This window comes from Homo sapiens, chromosome 1 (assembly GCF_000001405.40).
Source record: "Homo sapiens chromosome 1, GRCh38.p14 Primary Assembly".
Lineage (NCBI taxonomy): Eukaryota > Metazoa > Chordata > Mammalia > Primates > Hominidae > Homo > Homo sapiens.
This window is the reverse complement of record NC_000001.11, coordinates 75,262,441-75,283,574: the sequence shown is the minus strand read 5'-3', so window position 1 is coordinate 75,283,574 and position 21,134 is coordinate 75,262,441. Positions and strand designations below refer to the sequence as shown.

Genomic DNA, 21,134 nt, shown 5'->3' with positions numbered 1-21,134 from the left:
CTTAGACAAAAAGTTCATGACCAAGAACCCACAAGCAAATGTGACAAAAAAACAAAGATAAATTGATGGGACTTAACTAAAAAGCTTCTGCACAGAAAAAGAAATAATCAGCAGAGTAAACAGACAACACACAGAGTTGGAGAAACTCTTCACAAAATATGTGTCTGACAAAGGACTAATATCCAGAATCCACAAAAAACTCAAACAAATCAGAAAGAAAAACACCAAAGAATCTGATCAAAAAGTGGGCAAAGGACATGAATAGACAATTCTCAAAAGAAGATATACAAATGGCCAACAAACACATGAAAGAATGCTCAAGATCACTAATTACCAGGGTAATGCAAATCAAAACTACAACACAATACCACCTTACTCCTGCAAGAATGGCCATAATAAAAAAAAAATAGATGCTGATGTAGATGTGATGAAAAGGGAATATTTTACACTGCTGGTGGGAATGTAAACTAGTACTACCACTATGGAAAACAGTGTGGAGATTCCTTAAAGAACTAAAAGTAGATCTGCCATTTGATCCAGCAGTCCCTCTACTGGGTATCTACCCAGAGAAAAAGAAATCATTATACGAAAAAGATACTTGCACACGCATGTTTACCGTCACCCGATTCGCAAATGCAAAAATATGGTGTATTAGCCCATTCTCACACTGCTAATAAAAACATACCCAAGACTGGGTAATTTATAAAGGGAAGTGGTTTAATTAACTCACAGTTCAGCATGGCTGGGGAGACCTCAGGAAACTTACAATCATGGTGGAAGGGGAAGCAAACACATCCTTCTTCACATGGTGGCAGGAAGAAGAAGTGCAGAGCAAAGGGGGAAAAGCCCCTTATAAAACCATTAGATCTCATGATCTGTATGGTTCACTTGCTGTTCACTATCACAAGAACAGCACGGCGAAACTGCACCCATGATCTAGTGACCTTCCATGAAGCTCCACTCCCAACACGTGGGGATTACACTCAGATTATAATTCAAGATGAAATTTTGGTGGGAACACAGAACCAGACCATATTATTCCACCCCTGGCCCCTTCCAAATCTCACATGCTTCTCATATTTCAATACACAATTATGCCTTCCCAACAGTTCCTTAAAGTCTTAACTCATTTCATCATTAACCCAAAAGTCCAAGTCCAAAGTCTCATCTGAGACAAGGCAAGTTCCTTCTGCCTGTGAACCTGTTAAATCAAAAGCAAGTTAATTACTTCCTAGATATAATAGGGATACAGGCATTGGGTTAATACACCCATTCCAAATGGGAGAAATTGGCCAAAACAAAGGGGCTATAGGCCCCATGCAAGTCTGTAATCCAATAGGGCAGTCATTAAACCTTAAAGTTTTGAAACGATTTTCTTTGATTCTATGTCTCACATCCAGGTCACGCTAATGCAAGAGGTGGGCTCCCTTGGTCATAGGCAGCTCCACCCCTGTGACTTGGCAGAGTACAGCCCCCTTTCCAGCTGTTGTCACTGGCTGGCATTGAGTGTCTGTGGCTTTTCCAGTTGCATCATGCAAGCTGTTGGTGAACCTACCATTCTGGGATCTAGAGGATGGTGGGCCTCTTCTAACAGCTGCACTAGGCAATGCCCCAGTGGAGGTTCTGACTTTATATTTCCCTTCTGCACTGCCCTAGCAGAGGTTCTCCATGAGGTTTCCACCTCCAAAGCAAACTTCTGCCTGGACATACAGGCATTTCCATACATCCTCTGAAATCTAGGTGAAGGTTCCCAAACCTCAATTCTTGTCTTCTGTGCACCCACAGGACCAACACCATATGGAAGTTGCCAAGGCTCGGGACTTTCACCCTATGAAGCAATGGGCTGAGCTATACCCTGGCCCCTTTCAGCCACAGCTAGAGTGGCTGGGATGTGGGGCACCAAGTCCCTAGGCTAAATGCAGCGGGGGGGGGGGGGGGCCTGGCACCAGCCCAGGAAACAATTTCCCCTCTTAGGTTCTGAGCCTGTGATCAGAGGGGCTGCCTTTCAAGTCTTTGACATGCCCTGGAGACATTTTCCCCTTTATCTTGGTGGTTAACATCTGGCTGCTTGATACTTAGACAAATTTCTGCAGCAGGCTTGAATTTCTCCCCAGAAAATGGGTTTTTCTTTTCTGTCACATTGTTGGGCTGCAAATTTTCCAAACTTTTATGCTCCACATCCTCTTGAACGTTTTGCTGCTTAGAAATTTCTTCCACCAGATACCCTAAATCATCTCTCTCAAGTTCAAAGTTCCACAGATCTCTAGGGCAGGGGCAAAATGCTGCCATTCTCCTTGCTAAAGCATAGCAAGAGTCACTTTTGTTCCAGTTCCCAAGAAGTTCCTCATCTCCATCTGAGATCATCTCAGCCTGGACTTCATTGTCCATATCACTATCAGCATTTTGGTCAAAGCTATTCAACAAGTCTCTAAGTTGTTCCAAACTTTCCCACCTCTACCTGTCTTCTGAGCCCTCCAAGTCTCTAGGAAGTTCCAAACTGTCCCACATTTTCCTGTCTTCTTCTGAGCCCTCCAAACTGCTCCAACCTCTGCCTACTACACAGTTCCAAAGTAACTTCCACATTTTTGGGTGTCTTTATAGCAGCACCCCATTCCTGTACCAATTTATTGTATTATTCTGTTCTCATGCTGCTAATAAAGACACACCTGAGACTGTGTAATTTACAAAGGAAAGAGGTTTAATTGATTCACAATTCAGCATGACTGGGGAGGTCTCAGGAAATTTACAATCATGGCAGAAGGAGAAGCAAACACATCTTTCTTCACATGGAGGCAGGAAGGAGAAATGCATGGTGAAGGGGGGAAATGTCCCTTATAAAACCATCAGATCTCATGAGAACTCACTCACTATCATGAGAACAGCATGGTAGAACCACCCTCATGATCTAATCACCTCCCACGAGATCCCTCTTCCAACACGTGAGGATTATAATTTGGATAACAATTCAAGATGAGATTTTAGTGGGGACACAAGGCCAGACCATATCATATGGAATTAGCCCTAGTGCCCATCAATCAATGAGTGAATAAAGAAAAGGTGTTTTTTTATATATATATATAATATATATAATATATACAATTATATATTATATATACTATATATAATATATACTATATATAATATATACAATATATATATTATATATACAATATATAATATATACAATATATATATTATATATACAATATATAATATATACAATATATATATTATATATACAATATATAATATATACAATATATATTATATATACAATATATAATATATACAATATATATTATATATACAATATATAATATATACAATATATATTATATATACAATATATAATATATACAATATATATTATATATACAATATATAATATATACAATATATATTATATATACAATATATAATATATACAATATATATATATATACACACACACACACACACACAATGGAATACTACTCAGCCATAACAAGGAATGAAATAATGTAATTTGCAGCAACCTGGATGGAACTGGAGACCATCATTCAAAGTGAAGTAACTCAGGAATGCAAAACCAAACATCGTATATTCTCGCTTATAGATGGAAGCTAAGCTATGAGGATGCAAAAGCATACAAATGATACAATGTACTTCGAAGACTCTAGGGAAAAAGTGGGAGGGGTTGAGAGACAAAATACTACACATTGGGTAGAATGTACACTGCTCAGGTGCACCAAAATCTCAGAAATCACCACTAAAGGACTTATCCATGTAATGAAACACCACCTCTTCTCCCAAAACCCTGAAATAAAAATACATACATACATGTATACATACATACAAACATACACTTTATAAGTTGTAAAAAAAGGAAACTGTTTGGGGATACTATACATTAATTCAAAATATAAGCCAAAGGGTAAAAAAGCTATAAGATAAATTCTGAAGAACAAAAAAAAGGTTTTTTCAAAACTATATAATAATTCATTATCTATTGCTGCATTGTAAACTACACTCAAACTTGGCAACTTAAAAAACAAATATTTCTTATTTCACAATTTCCATGGTTAGGAATGTAGGCACAGCTTGGTTGGGTGGTTCTGGGTCCAGGTTCTTCATGAAGTTGTGGTTATGATGTAAGCCAAAGCTGCAGTCAACTGAAGGCTTGAGTTAGGGTGGAGGATGTGCCTTCAAGGTGGCTTACTCCTACACCTCACTTTCTGCTTGACTTTCCCATGTCCCACTGATGTAGGTGAAAACTTGTTTTCACATATTTGAATCTAGAAATTCTGTTCTAACATTACAAAAACTTAAAAAAGTGGATCTCATGGAGGTACAGAGTAGAATGGTGGTTAGCAGGGGCTGGAAAGGGAATGAGGGAGGGAGAGATGAAGAGAAGTTGGTTAATGAGTACAAATATGCCATTCAAAGGAATAAATTTTAGTATCTGACAGTACAGTGGGGAAACTGTAGTTAACAATAATTTATTGTGTATTTCAAAATAGCTTGAAGACAAGAATTGTAGTGTTCCCAACACAAAGAAAAAGGTTTGAGGTGATAGATATTCCAATTATCCTGATTTGATCATTAAACCTTGTATACATGTATCAAAACATCATGTGTACCCTAAAAATATGTGCAACTATAATATATCAATAACAATATAAAATAAAATAAAGTAATAAAAGTTATTTTGCATGATTGCAATAAGTACCAAGGGAATTTGAGAGAAGATTCTACTTTTTTGTTGTTAGAATTTGCTAAAATTTGTTCATTTAGGAAAATTATATTATTAAAAACACACCACTTGTTGTATTTGATTTTCCTATTCAATATACATATTTCCTCCTGCACTTAAAGCTGCTACATTCACAGTGATTCTACCTGTAGGTGTAAGCACTTGACTACTCACATCTCTTCCAGTTTAGTCACATTTGAGCATTTGCATATTGATGTGCATACTATTTAATTATAAATTACTTTTTATTATTTCTCATTCATATTACATAGGATATTTTATTGCCTTTTTAAAGGAAATTATGAGTTTGGCTGAGATATATTATCTGTGACTATTATTTCAAGATTGTACAAGGAGCATTGTTAACTATTATAAAAAGGATGTGTTGGGTATGATGTGCTTGAGAATGACTGTCATACAAACTGGTGATGTTATGGCACTCATAATCACCTTAAAGAAGCCCTTGACACTGTTCTTTCTACTAGAACAGATCTGTCCAGGAGAAATATAAAGTGAATTATATGTGTAAGTTTAAATTTTCTGATAGCTACATTTAAGAGCATAAAGGGAAACAGGTGAAAATAATTTTAATAATAACTTAATATATTTTATTTACTTAAATATAACAAAATATTTCAAATGTAACCAATATAAAAATTAAGATATTCTTCTTTGTTGTTGTTTATAATGTCTTTAAAATATGATGTGTATTTTGCACTTACAGTATGTCCCAATTTGGAGAAGCCATTTCAAGTGCTGAATAGACACATGGGTAGTGGCTACCATATTGGACAGCATAGTTTTGGATGTTCCATGAATAGAAAAATTCCAAGAAAGGGAGTAAAATGTCAGAAGCTCCTTAATTTATTAATAGGGACAAAATGATGGCTGCTGCCCATCTCCTTTTTTTCCTCTTTTTTGTAGCTTTCAGCTCAAAGTCTTTATGTTTCAGCTCAAACACAGACCATCTGCAGCACAACTTCTGTGCCAGAGGCTGTGTGGAGAGGTGTAGCAGCAGCTCAGTAAACACAACCACCTGCCACAGTTCAAAACCAGAAAGTCAAGAAGAAGTATTCTTCTCTTGACACTTCCATCTTCATCTCTCTCTCCTTTATCCCCAGACACTCAGATCCCCCCCAATCAGATATGCTCCTTCTCCCCCTGCCACAAGTAGAAGCTTTTCTCTCCAAATGGCAAAAGCTCCAAAATTGCCTGTCATCTCTTTTCCTACATTATGAACATTTTGCTGATCTTTATTTAGCTGATGTCCTTGTTTTCCCCCTGTTAACAAGCTCATTCCTCCTTTATCCTTTTGCAGAAAGCATTATCGCCTTTCTAGTTTGGTGGTTAAAACCACAGGCAATAGAAAGCAAGCAACACACCTGAGTTCATACCTTGTCTATCTCACTTAAAGCTGTGTGATTTTGAGTGATAAATTAAACTCTGAGCTGCAGCTATCTATACCATTCAGGTGAAAGTAATACCTACCTTTTAGGCATGCTATAAGACTCAGCTGAGACAATGGGTGTAATCAAGTTAGCACAACAGCTGTCACATTGTGAGCAATTAATAAATGAAAGATCTTATTATTATACTATTTCCTCAATCTATAAATCCTTCCCTACTTCCAGCCACATGTCCAAATCCTAATTATTTTTTAAAGTCTTTCTCAAGTCTCACCTGTTCTCTAAACCTTCTACAAACCTTATTCTCCCCTTTTCGTGTATTTCTTGAGAACTCTAACATAAATTCACATTGGTATAACTTCTAGTATGGGACACATCATGATCATTTAGTAAATCCTTTACTTAATTAATTGATGATGAAAGAGGGAAAGAAAACAATAGCAGATGCTGCGGATACCTGACCCTGCTTCCCCTTGACCCACCTGAGTTGTTTTGCAGCTGTGGTGGGCAGTTTTACAATTCCTACTGACAGACATGTTCCACACGGCTCTGCAGAAGTTCCCCAGAGGGATGGAGCCCCAGCTGCCCGCAACAGTATTCCACTCATTAACATGCACTTGATTGGCTTTGCTCCCTTCCGTCTCATCTCCCTTATACCTATTTAAGCTTCCTGGAATCACCTCCCAGATAAACCACCTGCATCAAAGCTCTTGTCTTAGATTTTGCTTTTGGGGAAACCCAAATAAGACAAGAACTAAGATTACTGAGTCCATATTGTATGCCAAGCACCATGTTAGTCACTCTATTTTCATTATCTTCTTTTATATTCTCAACATTCTTGTGGGATTAGGTATTATTATACTCATTTTGTAGTAACAAATTAGAAAGTCAGGACTCAAAATAATTAAGTGACTCACTCAGGGAAAATCTAACAATCTAAATGCTTCGGGTGCTCATTTCTGAATTAATAATTGTATACAAAAAAAAGAATAAGGCATTTTAGAATAAAGCTTTAAAAACATTACAGAAAAATAGGTAAAATAAAGCTCTTTCTTAGATTTAGCCAAAACATGACAAACTAAGGTATAGAAGCAGAATGTAATGATACGGGGTCTGGAGACATCGCACATTGAACACTTTGTTATTTAAATGCCTTATTTGTAGTCCACTTTTTTATTCTGGGAAATAGAGACGGGAAGATACGGCAGCTGAGAGCTACCCGAATGAGTCAGATTTAATAAGAAGGTATTAGAAGATGAAACCAATTTGGCCTCTATGACATTGGAGAAAGAATTAGACAAAGGGGACTTTTGTGAGTGCTAGATACTAAAAAGACAGGCTTAGATTGAGAAAAAATATTGAGAAAAAATTTTCTTCCATATTGAAATTCTCATACAGAATTGATTTTTTTATCTTCCCAAGTCACACAGGCCATATACATAAGAGTGATTGAATTATAACATGAAATGTCAAATCCAATAAATGTGGGGAGGGAGATAGCTGGGCAAATGTTAAAGGAAGCAAAGGACAAAGAGATATGTTTCCATATTCAGAGGCAAGCATTAGATGACCCAAGCACATTTCCCAGATTTTTAGGAACTGTATTAGTCAAATTGGAGAAGTTAGAAATATTCAGCTAAAATTAGAAAGCATTTCCTAATTGACCTAATATACGTTACTCTCTGTGGTCCTATGGTCTAGCTATCAAGTTAAGTTTATAATTCTTAAAAAATAAGGGTAATGTGTTTGAGCCCATTGTCTTCATAGAAAATCAAGTCCTTAGTTTTCATGAAGTTTGAGATCACTTGATACTTCTATTAAGCTCTGAGATTATCAGACAGAACTTAGGGTAAGTCTTTATTACATATTGCCTCTGCAGTTGCTATTGTTTGCCTTTATAATGTCACATGAAATCATAAAGAACTAGTAAATTTGAATTGGGCATTATAGTTTCATCCCTTTGAATTTTTTAATGGTTTTCACCTATGCATAACCCAAAAGTATTACATCATATTATTTACTGTAAATGTATTAGGTCTGCTATGAAGTCATTTAGTTTTGAACCCTAGAAAAAGTGACTTCTAGCCAACTGAGCTTTTATAATGTGCCCTCTAATTCACATTTTAATAAATGTCATTTTCTAAGTGCATTACCTCATGTTTTGGCTACAACCCAGCTGAATCCTGAGAGAATAAGAGAAATGTGCTTTCTGACTGGTTCATCCATATTTTATTTTACTTTTCATTAAGAAATTACTCTTTGAAGAAAATCAATAATCTTCTGTGACTGAGGGGAGAGGTTAGTGTGTTGCAGTGGTGCATTCTAATATCTCAAATCAAACTGCCTTTAGCTGGCTTTTGCTGATAGCATATTTGTCCTTTCTTGTTCCTGCAGCCTGGGTACATGGGGACCCCAGAAGAGCAGCCTATCCTACAGACAGCCAGGGCCACTTTTGTGGCCAGAAGGGCACTCCCAATGAGTGAGTATGGCCACCTTTGCTTTGTGTGATTTTACTGTCTAAACTGGAACCTAGATATCACTTTTACAGTAATCCTACCAGACTTCTTAAGAAGATTTAAATTCATAAAGGAAGCCTTCCCTCCCTTTTTTCTAACAGATAGCTATAAGCAGTTGGGAAGTTTTATATTATATGTCTTAAGACATGATGTCAGTGTTATGCAGCATTTTATTAGAATGCATGAAGACTCTAGTTATAAAAATATAATTATAATGAATAGATTGGACCAATGATTTTATCAGAAGCTATATTTTAAAATGCCTTATAAATGGGCTATTAGAAGACTGAGGTATGAGTAGCTGCTACAAAGCTAGACAGTCCAATTGTTAAGATTATTTTTGTCACAGTGTCTACTGATAAATCATTCCACCTTTCGAAGTAAGGGGCACACCCAGAAGGTCTTCAATGTTTGGTATCCTTTTCCAAGCAACCTGGCTGCTGTGGGCAATGTCCCTGGGTAGCTGAAACAAACAAGGAAGAATGTTCCATCAAATTTCTTTCTAATGGTAATCATAACAGAAGTTTTCATTTCTGAAAGCACATTGTCTATTTTTCTAATCTAAGAAAATAAACCACACACACAAGCAGCCCCCCATAAATCTCATATTTTTAGAAAACCTTCCCTCTTCTCTCACTGGTCCATTTCTCTGTGGAAACCTGGGGTGGTTGCTGGATCTTTTGGTTCTTCAAAACCAATCCAGTTTCTATAAAAGCTGGCTCTAGATGGTTAAAAAAAAAACCCCAAAGCAACCACACCCCTGACTTCCAAGAACAACAACAAAAAACATAGCTGAGGACACTTCAGTTATGTTGTCTATGCTGCCCACTTGTAACTATGGAGCATATTATTCCAAGAGATATACAGATTTTAAGAATAGATGCTCAGTAATTTTAAAAATTGACAACAAAAAAGTCCAAAATCAGATGAATTCACACCTGAATTTTACCAGATATTCAAAGAATTGGTACCGATCCTACTAAAACTATTCCGAAAGATAGAGAAAGAGGGGCTCCTCCTATATCATTCTAGGAAGCCCGTATCACCCTAATATTAAAACCAGGAAAGAACATAACAAAAATGAAACCTACAGACCAATATCCTTAATGAACATAGATGCAAAAATTCTTAACAAAATACTAGCTAACTGAATCCAACAGGACATCAATAGGATAATACATCAGGATCAAGTGAGTTTCATACCAGGGATGTAGGGATGGTTTAACATATGCAAGTTAATAAATGTGATACATCACATACACAGAATTAAAAACAAAAATTGTGTGATCAATCTCAATAGATGCAGAAAAAGCATTTGATAAAATCTAGCATTGCTTTCTGATGAGAGCCCTCAACAAAAAGGAATAGAAGGGACTTACCTCAAAGTAATAAAAGGCATCTGTAACAAACCCACAGCCAAGATCATACTAAATGGGGAAAAGTTGAAAGCATTCCCCCTGAGAACTGGAAAAAGACAAGGATGTCTACATGCAACACTTCTATTCAACATAGCACTGGAAGTCCTAGTCAGAGCAACCAGACAAAAAAAGAAATAAAGGGCAAGTTGGAAAAGAGGAAGTCAAACTGTCACTGTTTGCTGATGATATGATCACATAGCTAGAAAACTAAAGACTCATCCAAAAGGCTCCTAGACCCGATAAATGAATTCACTAAAGGCTCGGGTTACAAAATCAATGTACACAAATTAGTAGCACTGCTCTCCATCAACAGTGACCAAGCTGAGAATCAAATCAAGAACTCAATTCCTTTCACAACATCTGCAAAAAATAAAATAAAATACCTAGGAACACACTTAACCAACAAGGTGAAAGATCTCTACAAGGAAAACTACGAAACACTGCTGAAAGAAATCCTAGATGACACAGAGAAATGGAAACCCATCCTATGCTCATGGATGGATAGAATTAATATTGTGAAAATGACCATACTGCCAAAAGCAATCTACAAATTCAGTGCAATTCTCATCCACCAGGATTCCTCACAGAACTAGAAAAAAACAATCCTAAAATTCATACGGAATAAAAAAAGAGCCCACATAGCCAAAGCAAGACTAAGCAAGAACAAATCTGGAGACATCTCATTACCTGACTTCAAACTGTACTTTAAGGCCATAGTCACCAAAACAGCATGGTACTGATATAAAAATAGGCACATAGACCAATGGAAAAGAATAGAGAACCCAGAAGTAAAGCCAAATACTTAACACCCAACTGATCTTTGACAAAGCATACAAAACGTAAATTGGGGAAAGGACATCCTGTTCAATAAATGGTGCTAGGAAAACTGGCAAGCCACATGTAGAATAATGAAACTGGATCCTCATCTCTCACTTAATACAAAAATCAACTCAAGATGGATCAGACTTAAATCTAGGACCTGAAACCATAAAACTTCTAGAAAAAAACATTGGAAAAACTCTTCTGGACATTGATTTAGGCAAAGAATTCATGACTAAGATCCAAAAGCAAAGCAACAAAAACAAAAATAAAAAAAAAATAAAAGCAAACTGGTCATGATACAATATCTATCTTGTGAGAAATAAAATATTACAAGTCTAAAAAAAAAAAAAAGAAATGGGACCAAATTAAACTAAAAAGCTTCTGCTCAGCAAAATAAATAAGCAGAGTAAATAGACAACTCAAAGAGTGGGAGAAAGTATTTGCAAACTATGCATCTGACAAAGGACTAGTGTCCATAATCTACAAGTAACTCAAACAAATCAGCAAGAAAAATACAAACAATCCCATCAAAAGTGGGCTAAGGACATGAATAGACATTTCTCAACAGAAGATATACAAATAGCCAACAAACATATGAAAAAATGCCCAACACACTAATCATCAGGGAAATGCAAATTAAAACCATAATGAGATTCCACCTTACTACTGCAAGAATGGCCATAATTAAAAGTCAAAAAACAATAGATGTTGGCATGTATGTGGTGAAAAGGGAACATTTTTACATAGCTGGTGGGAATGTAAATTAGTACAACCAGTATGGAAAACAGTATGGGGTTTCCTTAAAGAACTAAAGGTAGGTCTACCATTTGATTCAGCAATCCCATTACTGGGTATCTACCCAAAGGAAAGGAAGTCATTATGTAAAAAAGACACAGGCACACACATGTTTACAGCAGCACAGTTCACAATTGCAAGGATATGGAACCAACGTAAGTGCCCCTCAGCCAACAAGTGGATAAAGAAAATGTTGTATATACACACCATGGAATACTACTCAGCCATAAAAAGGAATGAAATAATGCCTTTTGTAGCAACTTGAATGGAGCTGGAAGCCATTATTCTAAGTGAAGTAACTCAGGAATAGAAAGCCAAATACTGTGTGTTCTTACTTATAAGTGAGAGCTAAGCTATGAGGACACACACACACACACACACACACACAAAACATGCAGAGTGATATAATGGACTTAGGGGACTCGAGGAGGGGGAGACTATGAGGAGGTGAGGGATAAAAGAAAACACATTGCATACAGTATATACTGCTCAAGAGATGGGTGCGCTAAAATCTCAGAATTCACCACCTAAGAATTCATCCATGGAACCAAAAATCATCTGTACCCAAAAAACTATTAACATTTTTAAAAATAATTTTTAAATGTAAATAAGAAAAGAAAAAAGACAGATTCAGAAAATGGTTAACAAAATTCATGAAGTAGAATTATCACAATCAAGAAAACCCAGAAATTTAAGGAGAGGGGCAAATTCCTAATCATGTCAGGGTAAATTTATAGGGGACTAGTTGACTCCTCATTGCCTGTTAGAGATGACTGGGCTAAATTTTGATCCAGGGAGGTAATTCTTTTAACTTCAGTAACTCAGAAAATTCTAGACATTGCCCACAAAACCTTTGCAACCTTCACACTGTGAAGGACAAAGAGAGCACCAAGTGGTAAAAGAAACCATACAAATCTCTCAATCTCTAGTTCTTTAAGACAGTTTGTTTTTAAAAGGGCATTTGTAACAAGAAGTTTTCCAGACATAAGCCAATGATCCACTTATGTCAAACAAAAATGTGACAGCACAAATTTCAGTACATAATGATCTTTCAAAGATAGGCTTCGCTTAATACAAACATGTTCATTAAAGTATTATTCAAAATAATAATATATTGGAAACTACACAGATACTCAACAATATGTGAATGATAGTAAATTATGGCCCATCAATTTAATGAAATAGAATGGAACCACTGAAAATCATGTATATATGTTCAACAGTTGATTCTGTTGATTTTCCCTTACAGTTTCTGGGGTCTGGGTTATCATTGCCTTCCTCGCCCTGAAAATAACATTCTCCAATATTTCTCTAGTATTTTGATGGCTTCCTTCTTATATTTAAATTTCTAATTCCCTAGAAATTTATTTTTGTATATAGACTGAAGTGGAAATCAAACTATTTTCCCAAATTGTTGAGTTAATTATTTCAGAATCGTTTGTTGAATAATATACCCATTTCCTCTCTGATTTCTAAAACAATTACTAAATAATAAATTTATATATTTGTTTCTGAATCCTGTAACCTGCTCTAATGTACATTTTTAAGTCTCATGATTGTTTTAATTCTTATGATAAATGTGTATTAATTTAAAATTTTAATAAGTTACTCTAAATTATATTTGGACTTTCAGCAGTAAAATATTTACAAAAATGCAAGATTTTAGTCAATATTAAAAGTTTTTTAAGCATAAGTTTTATTGTATAAAATGGTGTATTAGTCCATTTTCACACTGGTGATAAAGACATACCTGAGACTGGGTAATATGTAAAGAAAAAGGGGCTTAATGGACTCACAGTTCCACGTGGTTGGGGAGGCCTCACAATCATGGCAGAAGGCAAAAGGCACGTCTTACACGGTGGCAGACAAGACAGAATGAGAACCAAGTGAAAGGGGTTTCCCCTTATGAAACCATCAGCTCTTGTGAGACTTATTCACTAACAGAACTGCATGGGAGAAACTGCCCCCACCATTCAATTATCTCCCACGGGTTCCCTCCCACAACATGTGGGAATTATGGGAGCTATAATTCAAGATGACATTTAGGTGGGGATACAGCCAAACCATATCAAATGGTATCAAGGGAAAATATTGGAGTAAATATATCATGATAGTAACATTATTATAACAATGTGAAACTATCATAAAACCAGACAGAAAGAAATCCTATTAAAAATATAAATTTTGAATGTGATAAAGATGGATTTCAAGTCAGTAGCAGAAAGATGATTATTAAATAAATAGTATTGAATTAACTGAAATACCATTCATAAAAATAAAATAAAATTGGATGTTTATCTCATATCTTATACCAAAATAAACACTAAAGCATTGATGATTTTGTATATAAAATATAAAACCATAGAAGTAACAGAAGAAAATGCAAGGGTATATTTATAGAATTATGGGGTTAAGAAAACTTTTCTAAAGATAACACCAAAAGCAGAAAATAGAAATTTTGAAGAATTTCAACACATAAATACACCTTAACTCATTGGAAACAAAGTTGAAAGATAAATGGAAATCTAGGAAAAACAAATATTTTCAACATATATATCTGACCAAATGTATCAACACCTTTTTTATATGAGCTGTTCTTCAAAATCAAAAAGAAAAAAAGATCATCCTATATGAAAGTAGGTAAAAGTCATAAACAGGAAATAATATAATGGCCAATAATGATAGAAATATAGTTCAACTACAGTTAAAAAAAGAATTGCAAATTAATTAAAATATTATTTTTGTCTTATAGGTTGTCAAGTAAATTTTAAAATATTAAAATTTCCGGTGTTGGCCAGAGTGAGGAGAAAAAATCGCCTCATTTTCTACTGGCAGTAGTGTAATTTGATATTTATCAGATTTTATAAAATATTTATCAAACATATAGGTTCTTTTTGATTCAGCAGTTTTCATCCTAGAAACTCATCTAGTGGAAATTTGCATAGATTTCCTAACGTTATAGGCACTATGTAATAGTAATAATAAAATGGAAACAACCTAAATGTTTCTCAATAGGAGATTGATTAAATGAATTACGGTATAGTCAATTATAAAATACCATTTAATCATTAATTATTGGGTAGAGATATATTTATTGGCAAGGAAATGTGCTCATGATATATTGTTAATTCAAGAAATGAAGTTATTAAAATGGCATGTGTAGTATAATTTCATTTTGTTGGTATGTTTGTACACTTGTATACTCTATATTCACATATATGAAAACATATGCAAGAAAAAAGTCTGAACGGATATACATATGCTTACAGTAATTATTTTCAATTATGGGATTATATTTTTATTTTCATTCTCATATTTCTGAGCCCCTATTATATCCCAGACAGTTTTCTAAAGGCTGAGGTTATAGTAAAAACAAATGAACAAGCTACCTGCCCTCATGAAGCCTACGTTTAAGTTAAAGGGAGATTCTCAATAAAAATGTAAATAACAAGATAGCTTCAAATAGTGATCAATGCTATGAAGAAAAAAAACAAAGCAGATGGCCTAACAGAGAATGACTGGTGTGCAATGGGAGGTAGTTACCTTGTGGTTACGGGGTGAGGGAAGCACTCTCATGAGGAGGTGACTTCTGAACTGAGATGTGAAGACCAGGAAGACACCAGCCTTTCAAAAGCCCTGGGAAGAGCACTCAAGCCAGAGGCAATAAGTGCAAAGGTCCTGAGGCATGAGTGACCCTATGATACACCAGGACTAGCACTAGAAGGAAGCCAAGAGGCCAAAACGTAGCCGATAAAGAGGGTGGTGGAATGAGGAGATGTCTGAGAAACAGGTAGAAGTCATATTTTCTGTGTCCTATGGACTCTGATAAAGTATTTGGATTATTTATAAGTGCAGAGAAGGACATAGAAAGGTGTTCCAACAAGAGTGACCGAATCCATTTAACATTTTAAAAAGAACATTCTTGCTGCTTCCTTATACCTTCTTGAGCTGTTTCAATGGTTCACAATAAGCATGTATGCAGAAAAATATTAAGCTTTTTTTCATTTAAAAATTAGGCCAGCTAGGGTGGCTCATGCCTGTAATCCTAGCCCTTTGGGAAGCCGAGGCGAGCCAATCACTTGAGCCCAGAAGTTCAAGACTGGCCTGGGCAACATGGTGAAAGCCTGTCCCTACAAAAAAATAAAAATAAAAATAAAAAAATTTTAAAAAATTAGCTGAGCATGATGGAGTGCCTGTAGTCCCAGCTATCAGGAGGCTGAGATGGGAGGATGGCTTGAGCCCAGGAGGTGGAGGTTGCAGTGAACTGAGATTGCACCACTGCACTCCAGCCTGGGCAACAGAGCCAGACCTTGTTTGAATTTAAAAAAATAAAAATAAAAATAAATATAATGGCAGATATCCTTATAGAATCATGACAGAAAATTGAGTATTTTTATTTTCTTGTATGTTTATGTGCATTGCAAGTTTCTACCAAAAATGTGTATCACTTTTATATTCCTACCGAATTTTCCAAAATTAAATAATTTAAAAAAGAAGTAAATATGCTGAGACAATAGATTGTCTTCATAATTAAAGCCCCTTTAAAAGAAAAAAAAACCAGATAAACATTTTCTCAAAAGAATATGTACCCTGGAGTCAAATTCTGACTTTACCTCTAGCATTGACCCATGGCATGGAACACAACCTACCTCAGTCTTTATTTCCTGATAATGAAGCAAAAATTAAATGAGAGAACAGTCATGTAGGAGAAGCATGCATTGGCCTTCTAAAAGCACTTTCATGTTGTTGAGGTCCTCCAATGGGCCAGTCACTATGCAATATACTAGAGCAAATAAGGCACAGATTTCTTCTTCAAGAGTCTCTTGGTCTTCAGAGATAAAGTCAAGAAAGCTATGGATTCGATCTATTGTGTTCGGCGCAGTGTGCTATTTTAAGTCTAAAATATAGTGCTGACAATCTCATCTGAAGCAGCCGCACGCACCGTCACCATTCCTCTTCCTAGTCTCTGGCACAAGATCTTGATTTACTGTCTTAGATACTTATCACTGCCTGAATTTATCCTGGTTATTAATTGGTTAGCTTCATTTATCTTCCCGGGCTGGGCCCAAAGTTCTTTGAGATCAGGGCCATTCTCTGTCTTTTTCACTGTCATATCTTCAGAACCTACAGCATTGTCTGGCATTACAATATGTGCTCAGTAAATTCATTGTTAAATGAATGAGAAAAAAGGGGTAACACAGATAAGAATGATTTGCTCCCAAAGTGGAGGTCAGCTTAAAGATCTGATCAGGTCCTCAACAACACTGCTAAGTGAGTCTGACTATTATTACTATTATTTGGAAATTTAGAAAACTAAAATTCAGAAAGGTTAAAATACTTGTTAAGGTTCAACTGTCTATTAAATGGCAAAGGTAGCACATTCTAACCCTAAGTCTTAAGCTGTTTAGGTTACACACAGACAGTTGCAGTGAACTTGGCTTTCCATTTTACTTGTTTAACCCAGGCCTAAAAATCTTAAACATAGCATAGCTTGTAAAAGTATCATTACATGTTTTAAACACCACAAATAAATGTGTGTGTGTGTGTGTGTGTGTGTGTGTGTGTGTATTTCTATGCCAAAATGAAATGCATCTATGTTAGGATGTGTAAGAAATTTAGGCAGCTCTAAAATGGGGAAACTTACCTGTTAGACTTTAACAATTGTCATGATGTATTTAAGCAATCCTTTGATTCCCAACTCTGGAAGACATTCCTTAATAACCGAGCCTAAAGTCCATGTTTAGAGGTGGTGTGATATTTGAGATGTGGCTTTTGGCCTTTTGTGCTTTATCTAACCAAAAAGACTCTAGGAGAAACACCAGGGGTTTTTACGGTGTCCAAAGAGATGAAACAGCGACTTCAAAGGAAAACGGAGTGCTTTGTTGTTGTGTGTAACTTTCTCTGCCTCTTGAGCTCTGGGAAAGTTGCTCATGACACTTAGGTACAGACCTTTTCTTTGAGATTTCCACAAAAAAAGAGAACGTGATTGATTTTTGATGCCACCTACTGGCTACTACAAAAACTTCAGCTTGTAAAGGTTGTGCCGAAATTACTTTGAACATTGTCTGATGTAGCACCATTACCAAGACTGAAATACCTGGCCCCATGAGGTTAAGATAAGGAAACAAGAAAGATTAAGAGGACAATGCTCTTCTATTTAAGATTTTTTAAAACTGATATGTAATATGTAATATTTGTACCTATCTATGGGGTGCATGTGATATTTTGTTACATGCATAAAATGTGTAATATTCAAGTCAGGGTATTTAGTGTATTCATCACCTAAGTATTTATCATTTCTATGTGTTAAGAACATTTCAAGTCCCATCTCCTAGCTGCTTTGAAATGTACAGTACATTGTTGCTACCTATAGTCATCTTTCCATGCTATGGAACATTAAAATGTATTCCTTCTATCTAATTCTATGTTTGTACCCATTAACCATTAACCCATTAACCAGCCTCTCTTCACTCCCCAGCCCCTGCCCCAGTTGCATATGCTTTCAGTTTGCTAGTATTCTGTTGAGAATTTTTGCATCTATGTTTATCAGGGATATTGCCCCATAGTGTTTTTTTGTTTGTTTGTTTTTATGTCCTTGTTTGGTTTTGGTATCAAAGTAATGCTGGCCTCACAGAATGACTTATAAAGAATTATCTCCTCTCCAATTTTCTGGAATAGTTTGAAGAGAAGTGGTTTTAATTCTTCTCTGTAAGTCTGGTAAAATTCAGCAGTGAAACCATCTGGTCCTGAACTTTTCTTTGTTTGGAAACTTTGTATCACTGATCCAATCTCATTATTTGTTATTGGTCTGTTTGGTTTTTCTATTTCTTGATTCAACCTTGGTAGGTTATATGTGTCCATGAATTTATCCATTTTTCTAGTTTGTTGGTGTACAGTTTTTCATAACAGTCTCTGATAGCGTTTTTCATTTCTGTGGTATCAGTTGTAATGTCTCCTCTTTTATTTTTGATTTTATTTATTTGGGTCTTCTCTCTTTTTTTCTTGGTTAGCCTAGCTAGCAGTTTATCAGTTTTATTTTTTTCAATAAAAACTTTGTTTTGTTAATTGTTTCCATTGTTTTTTAATCTCTATTTTGTTCTCTTCTCATTTTTATTTATTTACTTCTACTAATTTTGTGTTGGTTTGTTCTTGCTTTTCTAGTTCCTTGAGGTGCATTGTTAGATTGTCTTCGTACTTTTATGATGTAGGTCATTACTGCCATAAATTTTCCTCTTAGCACTGCTTTTTCTCTATTCCATCAGTTTTGATACATTGTGTTTTGGTTTTCCTTTGTTTGAAAAAAATTTTAAATTTCCTCCTAATTTCTTTCTTGACCTAACGGTCATTCAGAAGCATGTTATTTAATTTCCATTTATTTATAGTTTCCCAAGCTCTTCTCATTATTGATTTCTAATTGTATTCTATTGTGGTCTAAGAAGAAACTTGATATGATTTTAATTTTTTATAATCACACAAGTTGTCCTTGAGTGGCAGCTGCAAACAGAATAATCTTTCTCAGGGAACTGTAAACGTGTGGCAGCCCTGCCACTGGGCACATGGGGATCAATGCCAATGGCTTGCACTTTGGCCTTGGTGAGAGCAGCCAGCAGCAGCACATGGCTGCAGGTAGGGGATGTCAATGGGGCTCCAGGGATGTGGAGACACAAGGGTTGTTGAGCCCTAGGACAGGATGCAGTACAGTAGGTTCCAGGCTCTGAAAATGGTGCCTTGCTATTCCTTTTTTTTTTTTTTTTTTTAAATACTTTAAGTGATGGGATACATGTGCAGAACATGCAGGTTTGTTACATAGGTATACACGTGCCATGGTGGTTTGCTGTACCTATCAACCTGTCGTCTACACTAGGTATTTCTCCTAATGCTATCCCTCCCCTAAGCCGCAACCCCCCAACAGGCCCCAGTGTGTGATGTTCCCCTCCCTGTGTCCATGTGTGCTCATTGTTCAACTCCCACTTATGAGTGAGAACATGCTATGTTTGGTTTTCTGTTCTTGTTTTAGTTTGCTGAGAATGATGGTTTCCAGCTTCATCCATGTCCACACAAAGGACATGAGCTCATCCTTTTTTATGGCTGCATAGTAGTCCATGGTGTATATGTACTACATTTTCTTTATCCAGTCTATCACTGATGGGCATTTGGGTGGGTTCCAAGTCTTTGTTACTGTGAACAGTGCTGCAATAAACATACGTGTGTATGTGTCTTTATAGTAGAATGATTTATAATCCTTTGGGTATATACCCAGTAATGGGATTGCTGGGTCAAATGGTATTTCTAGTTCTAGATCCTTGAGGAATCACCACACTGCCTTCCACAAGGGTTGAACTAATTTACACTCCTACCAACAGTGTAAAAGCATTCCTATTTCTCCACATCCTCTCCAGCATCTGTTGTTTCCTGACTTTTTAATGACCATCATTCTAACTGGCATGAGATGGTATCTCATTGTGGTTTTGATTTTATTTGTCTAATGACCAGTGATGATGAGCTTTTTTTCATATGTTTGTTGGCTGCATAAATGTCTTCTTCTAAGAAGTGTCTGTTCATATCCTTCAGCCACTTTTTGATGGTGTTGTTTGTTTTTATCTTGTAAATTTGTTTAAGTTATTTGTAGATTCTGGATATTAGCCATTTGTCAGATGGGTAGATTGCAAAAATTTTCTCCCATTCTGTCGGTTGCTTGTTCACTCTGATGTTAATTTCTTTTGCTGTGCCAAAGTTCTTTAGTTTAATTAGACCCCATTTGTCAATTTTGGCTTTTGTTGCCATTGCTTTCATGTTTTAGTCATGAAGTCCTTGCCTATGCCTATGTCCTAAATGGTATTGCCTAAGTTTTTGTCTAGGGTTTTTTATGGTTTAAGGTCTTATTTTTAAGTCGTTAATCCATATTGAGTTACTTTTTGTATAAGGTAAAGAAGGGATCCAGTTTCAGCTTTCTGCATATGGCTAGCCAGTTTTCCCAACACCATTTATTAAATTGGGAATTCTTTCCAGATTGCTTGTTTTTGTCAGGTTTGTCAAAGATCAGATGGTTGTAGATATGTGACGTTATTTCTGAGGCCTTTGTTCTGTTCCATTGGTCTATATATCTGTTTTGGTACTAGTACCATGCTGTTTTTATTACTGTAGCCTTGTAGTATAGTTTGAAGTCAGGTAGTGTGATGCCTCCAGCTTTGTTCTTTTGGCTTAGGATTGTCTTGGCAATGCGGGCTCTTTTTTGGTTCCATATGAACTTTTAAGTAGTTTTTTCCAATTCTATGAAGAAAGTCAGTGGTAGCTTGATGGGGATAGCATTGAATCTATAAATTACTTTGGGAAATATGGCATTTTCACAATATTGTTTCTTCCTATCCATAAGCATGAAATATTTTTCCATTTGTTTATGTCCTCTCTTACTTCCTTGAACAGTGGTTTGTAGTTCTCCTCGAAG

General features: G+C 35.9%; 1 protein-coding gene across 13 annotated transcripts in view; it reads left to right on the top strand.

Moving 5' to 3' along the window:
• The window catches only part of SLC44A5 (solute carrier family 44 member 5), a 521,887-nt gene that overhangs the window by 440,441 nt on the left and 60,312 nt on the right, over window positions 1-21,134 (top strand). For all 13 annotated transcript variants that reach the window (XM_047449166.1, XM_017000608.2, NM_001130058.2 and 10 more), the window contains one exon: window positions 8,533-8,617. In XM_047449166.1, coding sequence (XP_047305122.1) covers window positions 8,533-8,617 — 85 coding nt within the window. The remainder of the gene's footprint in view (window positions 1-8,532; window positions 8,618-21,134) is intronic.